Source organism: Homo sapiens, chromosome 15 (assembly GCF_000001405.40).
Source record: "Homo sapiens chromosome 15, GRCh38.p14 Primary Assembly".
Lineage (NCBI taxonomy): Eukaryota > Metazoa > Chordata > Mammalia > Primates > Hominidae > Homo > Homo sapiens.
In genome coordinates this window covers 59,799,428-59,816,624 of record NC_000015.10, presented here as the reverse complement: position 1 = coordinate 59,816,624, position 17,197 = coordinate 59,799,428, and the positions used below count along the sequence as shown (strand labels likewise).

The following is a 17,197-nucleotide window of genomic DNA, read 5'->3' as shown; positions in this document are numbered from 1 at the left end:
ATTCCGTGATCGTTTGGTGGTACCTCACAGTGGAATGGTCTCTTGGATCAGTGTTTCACCCATGAGAAGTGTTTAATAAATGTTAGGCATTAGTTCATCATGACTACCCTGACACCTCTCATTTAGTAAATATGTACGAACTGATGAACAGATTAATCATGGAAAATCTGATAAAGCATACCAGTGAAAAAGCCCTCCCCTTGATTTTAGGTAACTTGCATTAGAGCCAAACTATAAAGGTACTGTTTTATAAATGTGTACCATCCATTTTCCTGAAGAGAAGAACAGAAACTCACTCAAGCAAGTAATATGATGGAATGGGGGATGTTGGGGGGGGAGTTGGTCAGTAACTGAGAGGAGGAACTCAGGAACAATGGTCAGAGCAGGCCCTGTGGAGACAGGGAGTGGGCTCAAGGCAGCCTCAGCAGCCGAAGGTCCTGGGTCTTCTGGGGCCCTGCCAGCCGCTGTCCTGCACTCTCCTTCCATCTCCACCCTTGCATGTCTGCTTGCCTCTTTTCCACTGGCTTTCATTCTATCTCAAAGCTTCTGCTCATTCAAGCCTTTAGTTATTCATAACTTTGGCGCTTCACAGTCCCAAATGTCTCGTTGGCCTTTCTCTCCCCCAACTGTAGAAATAGAGCTATAAGCCCCAAATTATTTAATTCAGCCTTGGTTAAAATTATAATTGAGTCCATTTGTCATACCTTTCAACAGTCTTTAATAAAATACTTTAAGTGAAGAACTGTTTGACACAAGAGATTTTGAGAATGCAAAATACTAGGATAGCCATGATCTTTTGTTTAAAAAGAGAAGGAAACCCTCTCTCTACCAAAAATACAAAAATTAGCCAGGTGTGGTGGTATGCACTGGTAGTCCCACCTACTTGGGAGGCTGAGGCAGGAGGATCACCTGAGCCTGGGGAGGTGGAGGCTGCAGTGAGCTGAGATTGTGCCACTGCACTCCAGCCTGGGCAAAGGAGTGAGACCCTGTCTCAAAAAAATAAATAAATAAAAAATAAATGATAAAGAAGATTGGCCTATATTTACATACTAACTTTCACTAACCTTAAGGTAAATCCATATGTATTTTCTGTATTTTCGTCAACTGAAAAGTTTCAATCTACATTTAAACTAAGAAGACCAAAGGACTTTCGTATGATATTCAGAGATTTGCTATAACAGTTCTGAGGAGCACTGACCTGTAACCTTGAAGTTATAAATATTTGTTAGTGAAAACCACATTTATTAGAATTTTTGTTGTACAGAATTGGATTTGTTTGTCGTACAGAATGGGAGACACAAACTATGTTTACTCACCAAACCTGTGTAATTACCACTGAACAAGACCTTATTCATTTAACCATAATTCACTCAGCAAATATAAGTGGTGCAGATTTTTTCACTTAAGAACCTTTTTAGAGTCATTTGCCCTTGCAAAATTATCTTGCAAGTAAAATAAAAAGTGACTCTGGTGAATAGTCTTGTAAAATGGTTCCCGATGATCCCTGCTTCCTGGTATTCACACTCTGTGTAGTACCTTCCCTTTGAGTGTGAGTTAAACCAGTGACTTACTTCTACTGAATAACATATGGCAAAACGGAAAGGATGTTATGATGGAATTTTTTGTTGTGTCAACTTCAAACACTGGTCCAGGTGTTTCTGTGAAGGTATTCTGCAGATGTAATTAAAGTTCATAATCAGCTGACTTTAAGTAAGAGAGATGATACAACATAATTGAGGTGAATGGGATTCAATCTATTGAAAGGCCTTAAGCAGGGCTGAGGCTTCCCTGAAGGAGAAGAAATTCCACCTGTCAACAGCAGTTCAGCCCATGCTAACAGTTCCTTTCTAACGGCCTGTCCTACAGATCTCCGATGTGCCTAGCCGGCCCCCACAATCAGGTAAGCCACTTCCTTGCAGTAAATCTCTTCACATTTATCTCCTACTGCTTCTGTTCCTCTGGTTGAACCCAGGCTGATACACATGTCACTTCTGAGATAAAGTGATAAGACTGTGACTTTCAACTTGCCTGCATTCTCTCCCTGGCTTTTCTAGCACGGCTGCTCTGACGTAGAGGGCCACCTGGCAAGACACTGGGGGAAACCTCCAGCAAAGAGCCAGAAAGGAACTGAGGTCCTCCGTCCGACAGCCTGTGAAGAACTGCAGCCTGCCAATAACCACGTGAGTTTAGAACTGGATCCTACTCCAGTTAAGGCTTGAAATGACTGTAGCTTCAGCCAACACCTGACTGCAGCCTCATGAGAGACCCTAACGCAGAGGACCCTGCTGTGCATAACTGGAAACTGTGAGATAATGTTTATTGTTGTGTATAACCACTAAGTTCTGGGGTATTTTGTTATGCCACAACAGATAATTAATACAGATTGATTCAAACAAGTTGATTTTTAAATACAGTGCAAAATGTCATTCTTCCAGATAAATTTTTAGCCACTGATAATACTTCCATATTTCCCGATTCATTATCTTAAGAGAGAAAATTTAATTGGTTCAACACATTTAAATAAAAACCTAATAACAGCCTGATCATGATCCCTGGCTGTCTTTGGGTCAGGTGCCTATCCCTAGTCTAATTAGCTATGGCCAGGGTGGGAGGGTGGCTGAGACATAGAGCTCCATGATTGAACCAAAGGCTGATGTTCTGCAAAAGCTGTGAGTGAGATAGTTTCTCTTAGAAGAATCGATGAACCCCAATAGGGAATCATAATGTACATGCCTAACAAAGAGCCAGAATCACAGAACTGTAAATATGTCAGCTAACGGCGATATTCAAAATATTTAACCAACCATCCAGCAAGGACACCAACCCGAGTGGTCAGTTGGCCAATCAGAATGGATGCTAGCAGTATATCATGCTTGTGTGTGCAGATGAATACCAGTCCTGATATAAGCCCAGACACCCTCATGCACATTTATTTTCTTCAAGTATTTAGGCACCAAAAGTGCTAAGAGAATAGGACACAGGTCTGTTGAGTAAACAAAGTTTATATCAAAAAAAGAGGTAAATATTTAAAAACTGAGTTTGTCAAGTAGTGTCTCCCTTTCATTCCCCTTGCAGATAAACTTTCAAACCGTGGAATATTTCTCCACAACCTGAAGAATCAGGATCAAGCTCTCAAAATCCCCTAGTGCGTGTTTCTGACAGGTCGTAGGGGTGACCTCTTGAACATGACCAAGATTTTTTGGTTGCTCATCCTATCATGATGTCCTGGGCATCTTTCAGAAATGGAACCCATATTGATGGATTCAATGTATGCAAAATTCCACTATCTACCAGATAGCTGTGCTTTCTTCATTTTGCAGGTAGAAACAAGGTTGTAGATTAGATTATGATACAGCAACTATTCACCTCCTCTCACACTCCCACTTTCCTGGAAAGAATGTGCTTCCCTGTCCCTTTGATGCTGAGCTTGGTTCTGTGACTTGTTTTGGTCTCATAGTAAGTAGAGTGTGCTGTCCTGCCTCTTGACCTGGGCTTAGCCGTCCCTGTAAGTTGTTTTGGCCAATGGGCTGTTAGCAGACATGATGTAAGTCTTGAAGCAAGGTTGCATTAGCTTCACTATAGCAAGAACAAGCCTTGAGTAACCTCTTGTTTAAGGAGGAGGAGACAGGCAGAGAAGTACATCCTAGATCTGGCTTGGAGCCAGAGCAACTGAGTCCTAGATGACCCACAGATATGTGACAAATAAATGGTGAAAAAAAAAAAAGTTTGCTTTTTTTCATTTGTTTTTTAATCAGTGCTTCTCCAGATAAGATTTTTGTTCAGCCTTTGCTAAGTACATTCCTCCTGACTGTCGCAAGGTTATTATTATCTTTTTGGCCAAGACAATGTATTTAACTGTGGCCTTGCAGTGTAACAGAAAAACTCTTCACAGATAAACAGGAGGCAGTCGCAAGGAAATCCCGCATGGCCTGCACCACACGCCAAGCTTCAAGTAGCAAATCCACAGATGTGCCCACAGAAGTTTAAGAGGCAGCTTAACAGATGTACAAAGCTGCAGATCAGAGGGGATATAAAACAGTTAAACTTGCTTAAAGGCACAATATGTCACCATCTAACAGTTCCATGCATCCTAAACCCCACCGAGGAGAAACATGCGCGGGCCCCTGGCTGTCGGCATGCGAGGAAGATTACAAAAACGCCACGCTGTGATGTGTTGCCCTTCTGCCTGAAAAGCTACTATTAAGCTGAGTATTTACTGCACCTATTCAGACAGGAGCGGCAGAGCCGAGTGCTACCTGTCTTCTGGTTGGATAAATTAGTTGTGGGTGTCACAAGATTATATAGCTGCCTATTGTTCTGTCTCCTGAAGGTGGTAAGAGACAAAAGCCCCCGGCCTGCCCTTGTAATGTTTCGTGTGAAATGCAGGAGGCAGCCTCTTTTCTTCCTGAGTTAATGGCAAAACAAGATCTGGACTGACTATATTAGAGTTTGGGGAATAATTAAAAAGACAACACATGGTAAAGAGACGGGGGAAAGCGTTTATTTATAGCGGGAGGGCACGTAGAAAGGAACCTGGCAAAATCCAATTTGGGAATCATGAAAGGTGAGCTCCCCGTGCCACTGTACATAAATTGGTGCTGTAATCAGAACAGAAACGCTCACTAGTCAATGCAGAAATGATCCTCCATTTGTTCAACTCCTCTCAAAATATTTTTTATATAATTTGTTTTGCCCGTACATTTCCATGATATATGGAGCTATGAACTCTAAATTAGTATTAACAGAAATTGACAAGCTCTGCGTTAAAAAATATCAGCCAGCCGGCCAGCCCTACGGGCTTAATTATGAAGGGAGGGTGTGAGGAGCACAACAATCTTGCTTCGAAATTTTACCACATGCAATATAAATAAAAGATTATCTCATCCACTAGTAACCTTACAGATCAAAAGCAAAACAGAAAAGTGACTTTACTGGCATTTATAATTATTTATATTGCCTGAACAGTTTTGTTGTATTTTGACAAATCCAACATTTCTGATTTTTTGTCGTAGGGCAGAAGGGGTGGTGGCCCTACTTTGTGTATCCAGAAAATCACTCCAATTAATATAATATACACTTTAAATGGAGACAGTTTCCCCACATGTCAGACAAGACCATGTAGATTTATTCTTCAGCAGTCATCTGTTGAGCCCCTACTATGTGCAAGCATTATATGGGTGCTTTTTGAAAAGTGCCCGTTATAATACCTTTAATAGGGTTTATATTCTGTATCTATCCTGAGTTATTTGCTTATTTTTTCTTTCCAAAAATGAACCCCAGGGTGGGCATGGTGGCTTACGCCTATGATCCTAACAATTTAGGAGACCAAGACAGGACGATCCCTGGAGGCCTGGAGTTCGAGACCAGCCTGCTCAACATAGTGAGACCACATCTCTATAGAATTTTTTTTAAGCCAATTGTAATGGATATGTACTGGAATTTTTTTTTTAATGTCATGATCTCATCAACACACAAATCAGAAATGAGCTTAGACTTCAGCTTTGATGTTCAGTTCCATCGCTGAAACCCCATTTTCCCAATTGGTTGTCATAAGAAATGTCTCTGTTTTTTTATTTTTATTTTTATTTATTTATTTTTTGGGGGGAACAGAGTTTTGCTCTGCTACCCAGGCTAGAGGGCAATGGTGCCATCTTGGCTCCCTGCAACTTCTACCTCCCAGGTTGAAGCGATTCTCATGCCTCAGCCTCCCGAGTAGCTGAGACACATGCCACCACGCCCAGCTAATTTTTGTATTTTTTGTAGAAATGGGGCTTCGCCATGTTGACCAGGCTGGTCTCAAACTTCTGACCTCAGGTGATCTGCCCATCTCAGCCTCCCAAAGTGCTGGGATTACAGGCGTGAGCGACTGTGCCCGGGCTTCTATGTTTTATTTGTCATTTTGGACATTTTTTCGTGCTGCCATACAGTTACAGCTACCATATAATCAGATTAACTCAGGACATTGTTGATTTGCTTCCACTGTCCAGATTATTTATTAACAACCCTCAATAGTGTCCCAGTTTGGACAATAAATTATATTTTAACCTCCATATGATGTGCTTTTTTTCTGTAAAAGTGAGGAAGTAGTGAATGAGCGAAAGCATGAGTGAGTGAATATGTAGGTGCATAGGTGGAGACTGAGAATTAAGGCCAACACCAAAATTTGCAGGCTCAGATGATCTCCTAAAGTATGCTGCCAGAGAAAATTAACTTGAACCAAAAATGGAATCTCTTTCAGATTAAAGCAAAGGTTTTCAACCTCGAAACTATTGACATTTTTGGCCAGATAATTATTTGTTATGGAGCTGTCCTGTGCATTGTAAGATATTTAGCAATGTCCTTGGCCTCCACCACTAAATGCCAGTAGCACTCCCCACCCCAACTGTGACAACCAAAAATATCTCCAGACATCACCAAATCTCCCCTAGGGAAGGGCACAATCATTTCCAGTTGAGAACTAATGCATTAAAAAATAGTTGTAAAATACTTTCTATCTTACTAAAGACAATTAAGGAAAGGAAGACATATTGAAGAATAGAAAATATCAGGGCATTCTACAGATATCCAATATCATGCACTTTTTAAAGTCTAAAATGCAAAAAAAAAAATTATTTAAAAATTTAAAATGCATGTAAGACTGGGTGTGGTAGCTCACGCCTATAATCCCAACATTTTGGGTGGCAATGGCGAGAAGATCACTTGAGGCCAGGGATTCGAGACTAACCTGGGTAACACAGTGAGACCCCTGTCTCTATTTTTTTTTAATTGGCCATGTGTAGTGGCTTGTAGTCCTCTAGTCCTAGCTATATGGGAGGCTGAAGTAGGAGAATTGCTTGAGCCCAGAAGTTCAAGGCTACAGTGAGCTATGATTGTGCCACTGGATTACAGCCTGGGCAACAAATGAGAGCCTGACCAAAAAAAAAAAAAAAAAAAAAAGCATATAATATATGAAACTACTGAGAACTCAAAAACAATTCAGGTCCTGGGTTTAGTCCCCATTCATTTATTTTGCTTTGGGGGTCCATACATAGTAATTCCTTTGATTGCTTATATGCTGATAGACATGAATCCAATCAATTCATGTTATTTTATCGTCTCTTTTTTTTTTCTGCTAAGATATTTGAATTAGCTTTTTTTTTAATACTTTAAGTTTTAGCGTACATGTGCACAACATGCAGGTTTGTTACATATGTATATATGTGCCATCTTGGTGTGCTGCACCCATTAACTCGTCATTTAACATTACGTATATCTCCTAATGCTACTCCTCCCCCTCCCCCCACCCCACAACAGGCCCCAGTGTGTGATGTTCCCCTTCCTGTGTCCATGTGTTCTCATTGTTCAATTCCCACCTATGAGTGAGAACGAGCGGTGTTTGGTTTTTTTGTCCTTGCGATAGTTTGCTGAGAATGATGGTTTCCAGCTTCATCCATGTCCCTACAAAGGACATGAACTCATCATTTTTTATGGCTGCATAGTATTCCATGGTGTATATGTGCCACATTTTCTTGATCCAGTCTATCATTGTTGGACATTTGGGTTGGTTCCAAGTATTTGCTATTGTGAATAGTGCCGCAATAAACATACATGTGCATGTGTCTTTATAGCAGCATGATTTGTAATCCTTTGGGTATATACCCAGTAATGGGATGGCTTGGTCAAATGGTATTTCTAATTCTAGATCCCTGAGGAATCGCCACACTGACTTCCACAATGGTTGACCTAGTTTACAGTCCCACCAACAGTGTAAAAGTGTTCCTATTTCTCCATATCCTCTCCAGCACCTGTTGTTTCCTGACTTTTTAATGATCGCCATTCTGACTGGTGTGAGATGGTATCTCATTGCGATTTTCATTTGCATTTTTCTGATGGCCAATGATGATGAGCATTTTTTCATGTGTCTTTTGGCTGCATAAATGTCCTCTTTTGAGAAGTGTCTGTTCATATCCTTTGCCCACTTTTTGATGGGGTTGTTTGTTTTTTTCTTGTAAATGTGTTTGAGTTCTTTGTAGATTCTGGATATTAGCCCTTTGTCAGATGAGTAGATTGCAAAAATTTTCTCCCATTCTGTAGGTTGCCTGTTCACTCTGATGGTATTTTCTTTTGCTGTGCAGAAGCTCTTTAGTTTAATCAGATCCCATTTGTCAGTTTTGGCTTCTGTTGCCATTGCTTTTGGTGTTTTAGACATGAAGTCCTTGCCCATGCCTATGCCCTGAATGGTATTGCCTAGGTTTTCTTCTAGGGTTTTTATGGTTTTAGGTCTAACATTTAAGTCTTTAATCCATCTTGAATTAATTTTTGTATAAGGTGTAAGGAAGGGAACCAGTTTCAGCTTTCTACATATGGCTAGCCAGTTTTCCCAGCACCATTTATTAAGTGGGGAATCCTTTCTCCATTTCTTGCTTTTGTCAGGTTTGTCAAAGATCAGATAGTTGTATATATGCAGCCTTATTTCTGAGGGCTCTATTCTGTTCCATTGGTCTGTATCTCTGTTTTGGTACCAGTACCATGCTGTTTTGGTTACTATAGCCTTGTAGTATAGTTTGAAGTCAGGTAGCGTGATGCCTCCAGCTTTGTTCTTCTGGCTTAGGATTGACTTGGCAATGCCAGCTCTTTTTTGGTTCCATATGAACTTTAAAGTAGTTTTTTCCAATTCTGTGAAGAAAGTCTATTAGTAGCTTGGTGGGGATGGCATTGAATCTATAAATTACCTTGGGCAGTATGGCCATTTTCACGATATTGATTCTTCCTATCCATGAGCGTGGAATGTTCTTCCATTTGTTTATATCCTCTTTTATTTCATTGAGCAGTGGTTTGTAGTTCTCCTTGAAGAGGTCCTTCACGTCCCTTGTAAGTTGGATTCCTAGGTATTTTATTCTCTTTGAAGCAATTGTGAATGGGCGTTCACTCATGATTTGGCTCTCTGTCTGTTATTGGTGTATAAGAATGCTTGTGATTTTTGCACATTGATTTTGTATCCTGACACTTTGCTGAAGTTGCTTGTCAGCTTAAGGAGATTTTGGGCTGAGACGATGGGGTTTTCTAGATATACAATCATGTCATCTGCAAACAGGGACAATTTGACTTCCTCTTTTCCTAATTGAATACCCTTTATTTCCTTCTCCTGCCTAATTGCCCTGGCCAGAACTTCCAACACTATGTTGAATAGGAGTGGTGAGAGAGGGCATCCCTGTCTTGTGCCAGATTTCAAAGGGAATGCTTCCAGTTTTTGCCCATTCAGTATGATATTGGCTGTGGGTTTGTCATAGATACCTCTTATTATTTTGAGATACGTCCCATCAATACCTAATTTATTGAGAGTTTTTAGCATGAAGCGTTGTTGAATTTTGTCAAAGGCCTTTTCTGCATCTATTGAGATAATCATGTGGTTTTTGTCTTTGGTTCTGTTTATATGCTGGATTACATTTATTGATTTGCATATGTTGAACCAGCCTTGCATCCCCAGGGATGAAGCCCACTTGATCATGGTGGATAAGCTTTTTGATGTGCTGCTGGACTCGGTTTGCCAGTATTTTATTAAGGATTTTTGCATCAGTGTTCATCAGGAATATTGGTCTAAAGTTCTCTTTTTTGGTTGTGTCTCTGCCAGGCTTTGGTATCAGGATGATGCTGGCCTCATAAAATGAGTTGGGGAGGATTCCCTCTTTTTCTATTGATTGGAATAGTTTCAGAAGGAATGGTACCAGCTCCTCTTTGTACCTCTGGTATAGCTCGGCTGTGAATCTATCTGGTCCTGGACTCTTTTTGGTTGGTAAGCTATTAATTATTGCCTCAATTTCAGACCCTGTTGTTGGTCTATTCAGAGATTCTACTTCTTCTTGGTTTAGTCTTGGGAGGGTCTCTGTGTCTAGGAATTTATCCATTTCTTCTAGATTTTCTAGTTTATTTGTGTAGAGGTGTTTATAGTATTCTCTGATGGTAGTTTGTATTTCTGTGGGATCGGTGGTGATATCCCCTTTATCATTTTTTATTGCGTCTATTTGATTCTTCTCTCTTTTCTTCTTTATTAGTCTTGCTAGCAGTCTATCAATTTTGTTGATCTTTTCCAAAAACCAGCTCCTGGATTCATTGATTTTTTGAAGGGTTTTTTGTGTCTCTATTTCCTTCAGTTCTGCTCTGATCTTAGTTATTTCTTGCCTTCTGCTAGCTTTTGAATGTGTTTACTCTTGCTTCTCTAGTTCTTTTCATTGTGATGTTAGGATGTCAACTTTAGATCTTTCCTGGTTTCTCCTGTGGGCATTTAGTGATATAAATTTCCCTCTACACACTGCTTTGAACGTGCCTCAGAGATTCTGGTATGTTGTGTCTTTGTTCTCATTGGTTTCAAAGAACATCTTTATTTCTGCCTTCATTTCGTTATGTACCCAGTAGTCATTCAGGAGCAGGTTGTTCAGTGTCCATGTAGTTGAGTGGTTTTAAGTGAGTTTCTTAATCCTGAGTTCTAGTTTGATTGCACTGTGGTCTGAGAGATAGTTTGTTATAATTTCTGTTCTTTTACATTTGCTGAGGAGTGCTTTACTTCCAACCATGTGGTCAATTTTGGAATAGGTGTGGTGTGGTGCTGAAAAGAATGTATATTCTGTTGATTTGGGGTGGAGAGTTCTGTAGATGTCTGTTAGATCCGCTTGGTCCAGAGCTGAGTTCAATTCCTGAATATCCTTGTTAACTTTCTGTCTCGTTGATCTGTCTAATGTTGACAGTGGGGTGTTAAAGTCTCCCATTATTATTGTGTGGGAGTCTAAGTCTCTTTGTAGGTCTCTAAGGACTTGCTTTATGAATCTGGGTGCTCCTGTATTGGGTGCATATATATTTAGGATCGTTAGCTCTTCTTGTTGAATTGATCCCTTTACCATTATGTAATGGCCTTCTTTGTCTCTTTTGATCTTTGTTGGTTTAAAGTCGGTTTCATCAAAGACCAGGATTGCAACCCCTGCCTTTTTTTGTTTTCCATTTGCTTGGTAGATCTTCCTCCATCCCTTTATTTTCAGCCTATGTGTGTCTCTGCACGTGAGATGGGTTTCCTGAATACAGCACACTGATGGGTCTTGACTCTTTATCCAATTTGCCACTCTGTGTCTTTTAATTGGAGCATTTAGCCCATTTACATTTAAGGTTAATATTGTTATGTGTGAATTTGATCCTGTCATTATGATGTTAGCTGGTTATTTTGCTTGTTAGTTGATACAGTTTCTTCCTAGCCTCGATGGTCTTTACAATTTGGCATGTTTTTGCAGTGGCTGGTACCAGTTGTTCCTTTCCATGTTTAGTGCTTCCTTCAGGAGCTCTTATAGGGCAGGCCTGGTGGTGACAAAATCTCTCAGCATTTGCTTGTCTGTAAAGGATCTTATTTCTCCTTCACTTATGAAGCTTAGTTTGGCTGGATATGAAATTCTGGGTTGAAAATTCTTTTCTTTAAGAATGTTGAATATTGGCCCCCAATCTCTTCTGGCTTGTAGAGTTTCTGCTGAGAGATCAGCTGTTAGTCTGATGGGCTTCCCTTTGTGGGTCACCTGACCTTTCTCTCTGGCTGCCCTTAACATTTTTTCCTTCGTTTCAACTTTGGTGAATCTGACAATTATGTGTCTTAGACTTGCTCTTCTTGGGGAGTATCTTTGTGGCGTTCTCTGTATTTCCTGAATTTGAATGTTGGCCTGCCTTGCTAGATTGGGGAAGTTCTCCTGGATAATATCCTGCAGAGTGTTTTCCAACTTGGTTCCATTCTCCCCGTCACTTTCAGGTATGCCAATCAGACGTAGATTTGGTCTTTTCACATAGTCCCATATTTCTTGGAGGCTTTGTTCATTTCTTTTTATTCTTTTTTCTCTAAACTTCTCTTCTCGCTTCATTTCATTCATTTCATCTTTCATCACTGATACCCTTCCTTCCAGTTGATCGAATCGGCTACTGAGGCTTGTGCATTTGTCACGTAGTTCTCATGCCTTGGTTTTCAGCTCCATCAGGTCCTTTAAGGACTTCTCTGCATTAGTTATTCTAGTTTGCCATTCGTCTAATTTTTTTTCAAGGTTTTTAACTTCTTTGCCATGGGTTCGAGCTTCCTCCTTTAGCTCGGAGTAGTTTGATCATCTGAAGCCTTCTTTTCTCAACTCGTCAAAGTCATTCTCTGTCCAGCTTTGTTCCATTGCTGGTGAGGAGCTGTGTTCCTTTGGAGGAGGAGAGGCGCTCTGATTTTGAGTTTCTAGTTTTTCTGCTCTGTTTTTTCCCCATCTTTGTGGCTTTATCTACCTTTGGTCTTTGATGATGGTGACGTACAGATGGGGTTTTGGTGTGGATGTCCTTTGTTTGTTAGTTTTCCTTCTAACAGTCAGGACCCTCAGCTGCAGGTCTGTCGGAGTTTGCTGGAGGTCCACTCCAGACCCTGTTTACCTGGGTATCAGCAGCGGAGGCTGCAGAACAGTGAATATTGGTGAACAGCAAATGTTGCTGCCTGATCGTTCCTCTGGAAGTTTTGTCTCAGAGGAGTACCCAGCTGTGTGAGGTGTCAGTCTGCCCCTACTGGGGGGTGCTTCCCAGTTAGGCTACTCGGGGGTCAGGGACCCACTTGAAGAGGCTGTCTACCCGTTCTCAGATCTCCAGCTGTGTGCGGGAGAACCACTACTCTCTTCAAAGCTGTCAGTCAGGGACATTTAAGTCTGCAGAGATTTCTGCTGCCTTTTGTTTCACTATGCCCTGCCCCCAGAGGTGGAGTCCATAGAGCCAGGCAGGCCTCCTTGAGCTGCGGTGGACTCCACCCAGTTCAAGCTTCCTGACTGCTTTGTTTACCTACGCAAGCCTGAGCAATGGTGGGCACCCCTCCCCCAGCCTCGCTGCCGCCTTGCAGTTTGATCTCAGACTGCTGTGCTAGCAATGAGTGAGGCTCCGTGGGCGTAGGACCCTCCGAGTGAGGCATGGGATATAATCTGCAGCTGTGCCGTTTGCTAAGACCGTGAGAAAAGCTCAATATTAGGGTGGGAGTGACCCGATTTTCCAGGTGCCATCTATCACCCCTTTCTTTGACTAGGAAAGGGAATTCCCTGACCCCTTGCACTTCCCGGATGAGGCAATGCCTCACCCTGCTTTGGCTCATGCTCGGTGCACTGCAGCCACTGTCCTGCACCCTCTATCCAACACTCCCCAGTGAGATGAATACGGTACCTAAGTTGGAAATGCAGAAATCACCCGTCTTCTGCGCGTCGCTCACGCTTGAATGAGAACTGACGAGGGTTTGGAAATTATCCTCTTTCCTTCCCAGCTCCTCCCTAATTTCTAAATGCCAGCTTTTAAAGTGATTTTGGAAACATATTCAATTCTAATGCAGAGATTCAGCCTAATCTTTGAGTACAGTGCTGAATAAACCACCCTCACAGTGCATGTTTTCACTTCATTTCTTCTTGCGGCTTTCCTGAATAAACTAGCTTAAGCAATATCTTTACTCAAGTCCTATGTTCATTCAGTCCCTGATAGTTTAAAAGAATTAGCTTACTTCTTAGCAAAATTGTACTGATATCTGCAAAATTTTATTTAGTTCTGGTATAATTACTCAATGGGTAGGTTTGAGTTGTGGATACGGGTGTGAATAGACCATGACCTTCACTTTCCAGGAGCTCACTTGTCCAGCAAAATTACCAAGCCTGCCACTTATGTAATTTTAATATTCTAATAGTCATATTTTAAAAAGCAAAAAGAAACAAGTGAAATGAATTTTTACAATATATTTTGTTTAATCCAATGTATCCAAAGTATGTAATTGATATAAAAATTACTAAAGAGAGGTTTTTACATTCTTCATTCCTTGTTCTAAGTCTTCAATATCCAGCACATTGAACACATCTCAATTTGGATTAGTACATTCTTTCTTTCTTTCTTTCTTTCTTTTTTTTGAGACAGTCTCACTCTGCCACCCAGGCTGGAGTGCAGTGATGCAATCTCAGCTCACTGCAACCTCCACCTCCTGGGTTCAAGCAATTCTCCTGCCTCACCCTCCCAAGTAGCTAGGACTACAGGCATGCACCATCATGCCCAGCTAGTTTTTGTATTTTTAGTTTCACCATTTTGGCCAGGCTGGTCTCAAACTCCTGGCCTCAAGTGATCCGCCCAGCTCAGCCTCCCAAAGTGCTGGGATTACAGGTGTGAGCCACCATGCCCAGCCTTGGATTAGTACATTTCAAGAGCTCAATAAATCACATGTGGCTAATGGCTACTGTGTTGAACAGTACAGATCTGGGGCAGTGGTCTCCAAAGTGTGGTGCCCCTTATAGCTCATTGGAGCTTGAGAAGAAAATATATTTTTTGGGATCAGGTTAAATTTATAGGCTAACTGGGAGATAATTGACATCTTTATGATGGTAAATCTAAGACTATAACATGTCTTTCAATTTGTTTAAATATCCTTTTTGTGTCTTTGAGGTTTGTATCTTATATGTATTTTACAAATTTTGAAAGCTAATGTCTAAGTATCTTACATTTTTATTGCTATTGTAAATAAGATTTTTCTTCCTTTATTTGCTAACTGGTTGATATTTATATATACAGAAGCAACTAATTTCTGAATAGTCATACTGAATTCAGTTTTAATGGCTTTTCCATTTATCTTCTTAGGTTTTTCAAGTATCATATCAACTGCAAATGTGATGATTTTATGTTTTCCTTTTTAGATGGTTTCTTAGCAGGATGGCTGTGACTCAGGATCTCTCATAAAATTTAAGTCAATCTATTGGCTGAGGCTGCTGTCATCTGAAGGCTTGACTGGGCTGGAGGATCTACTTCCAAGAAGGTGCACTCCCATGGCTATTAGCTGGAGGCCTGCATTCCTCAAAGGCTCTTGGCTAGAGGCCTCAGTTAATTCCTGACCATACGGGCCTCTCCACAGGGCTACCTGAGTATCCTCAAGACATGGCAACTGGCCTTCCCCAGAGACAGTGATTCAAAAATGAGAAAGAGAGGCTAAGATGGAAGGCACAATACTTTTTTATAAATTAGCCTTTAACATCTTTCAGAGGTGGAACTTAATTCCTCTCCCTTTATGTGTGGGCTGGATTTAGTGAGTTGATTCTCATAGACAGAATAAAACAAAGCACAAGTGTTTATTTTTTTTCTTGTACTTCCTGTAGTTTTACCTTTGTGAATATTGATATTGTGTTATTCAGTGCTTCTATCTGCACTGTTAATTGCACTTTTTAACAAAATTGAAAGCCCATTTTGACTTATTTAATGCTTTGTCCTGTATTCAACCTTGTCTGATATTAAAATGACTAACTTGTTTTCTTTTTGTTTGCATTGTCTGGTATATTTCACTCATCCATTTGTTTTCAAACTTTCTGAATTGCTTGCTTTAGGGGTGTTTCTTATGTACAGCATAAACTTTAGATTTTCTTTGTGATGTATTCTAAAAGTTATTTTCTTTCAATGGGTGAGGTTAGTCCATGTATGGTAACTGATATGACAAGTTTTGTATTGCTTCTGTCATACAATTTTATATTGTGTTTTTCTATTTTATAGTTTTATAAAATTTTTAACATATGCTCTACTTCACACATTTTATTTTTCATGATAAATAGGAAGTTTTACATTTTTATAAATATTTACCCTTAAATTGTAAGTTTGCCTGATAATGAATCTTGGATTTATTTAGGCAACATGTATTACTTATTCCAAGAATAAAGAAATGTCTATGTATATATTTTCTCCTATTCTTTTTTCTACCATCCAATTTCTTGTTTTTAAAATAGAGATGGGGTCTCACTCCATCACCCAGGCTGGAGTGCAGTGGTATGATCATAGCTTATTGCAGCCTCGACCTCCTGGGCTCAAGTGATCCTCCTGCCTTGGCTTCCCAAAGTGCTGGGATTACAGGTGTGAGCCACAGCACCCAGCCACTACCATCTAATTTTTGTAAATTATTTTATCTTTCTTAGTGTTCTTTTTTGTACTGTTAGATTTACTCTTGCCCATATTTTTTAATATTAAGATGATATTCTTTAATGTGCAACTACTAAAGATGAGAAAATCACATCACAGTTTTATGGATATAAATTTGCTTAGCCTTTACTTTCCAGCTGATTTAACACTTACCTCCCAACTTATGTTACTTATATCTTGTCTCCTTTTTTACTGCATCTAACACTTACTTTCTGTTCTGTAATTCTAACCACACATTTGTTTTCGTCTTAGAGCTGTTACAATCAGGGATCCTGCAGGTTCCTTTCCTCTCATGGCTTGATTGGCTGAAGTTTGGCCTCTAGGATATTCCTCAAGAGGAGATTAAGAATATATTCTCTGAATTCTTGGATATTCAAAAATATTTGATTTTTTTTTTTTTTGAGACAAAGTCTTGCTTGTCACGCAGGCTGGAGTGCAGTGACGTGATCTTGGCTCACTGCAACCTCCGCCTCCTGGGTTCAAGTGATTCTCCTGCCTCAGCCTCCTGAGGAGCTAGGACTACAGGTGTGCACCACCACACCCAGCTCATTTTTGTGTTTTTAGTAGAAACAGGGTTTCACCATATTGGCCAGTCTGGTCTCGACCTCCTGACCTTGTGATCCACCCACCTCGGCTTCCTAAAGTGCTGGGATTACAGACATGAGCCACCATGCCCGGCACCTTGACTCTTTTTCTTATAGCCAAATAACATATTTAGGTTGCACATTCCTTCCCTGAAGATGTTGTAGGTGTTACTTCACTGACTTAGGCATTGATTACTGCTATGGAGCACTCTGGGGCCAGCACACTTTTGTCTTTTTTTTTTTTTTTTTTTTTTTTTTCAGATAGAGCCTTGCTCTGTTGCCCAGGCTGGAGTGCAGTGGTGCGATCTCGCTCACTGCAAGCTCCACCTCCCGGGTTCATGCCATTGTCCTGCCTCAGCCTCCCAAGTAGCTGGGACTACAGGCGCCTGCCACCACGCCCGGCTAATTTTTTGTATTTTTAGTAGAGTCGGGGTTTCACCGTGTTAGCCGGGATGGTCTCGATCTCCGGACTTCGTGATCCACCTGCTTTGGCCTCCCAAAGTGCTAGGATTACAGGCCACTTTTTTCTTTTATAAATGACTCTGCCCAGATGCCAAAAAAAATGTTGTTTAGTTGTTGTTTTGAAGTCCAGTAACTTTCCTATGATATGTCTCAGTTGGCTCTTCTGAGCCAATTTCCCTAGAATATAGTGTGCTCTTTCTTATGTAGATACAAGT

At 40.6% G+C, this 17,197-nt stretch overlaps 3 annotated features.

The window, feature by feature from the left end:
• Window positions 1,989-2,189: a silencer, noted in NCBI's record as "peak2359 fragment used in MPRA reporter construct". NCBI's record gives its function as "represses an SCP1 promoter by STARR-seq MPRAs in K562 erythroleukemia cells {active_cell/tissue: K562}" and the evidence as "EXISTENCE:reporter gene assay evidence [ECO:0000049][PMID:32103011]".
• Window positions 12,475-13,003: an enhancer, noted in NCBI's record as "H3K27ac hESC enhancer chr15:60095821-60096349 (GRCh37/hg19 assembly coordinates)". NCBI's record gives its function as "activates a minimal SCP1, AML or CMV promoter by ChIP-STARR-seq in naive H9 embryonic stem cells {active_cell/tissue: H9 hESC(naive)}" and the evidence as "EXISTENCE:reporter gene assay evidence [ECO:0000049][PMID:30033119]".
• Window positions 12,693-12,742: a silencer, noted in NCBI's record as "silent region_6493". NCBI's record gives its function as "represses an Ori minimal core promoter by ATAC-STARR-seq in GM12878 lymphoblastoid cells {active_cell/tissue: GM12878}" and the evidence as "EXISTENCE:reporter gene assay evidence [ECO:0000049][PMID:35858748]".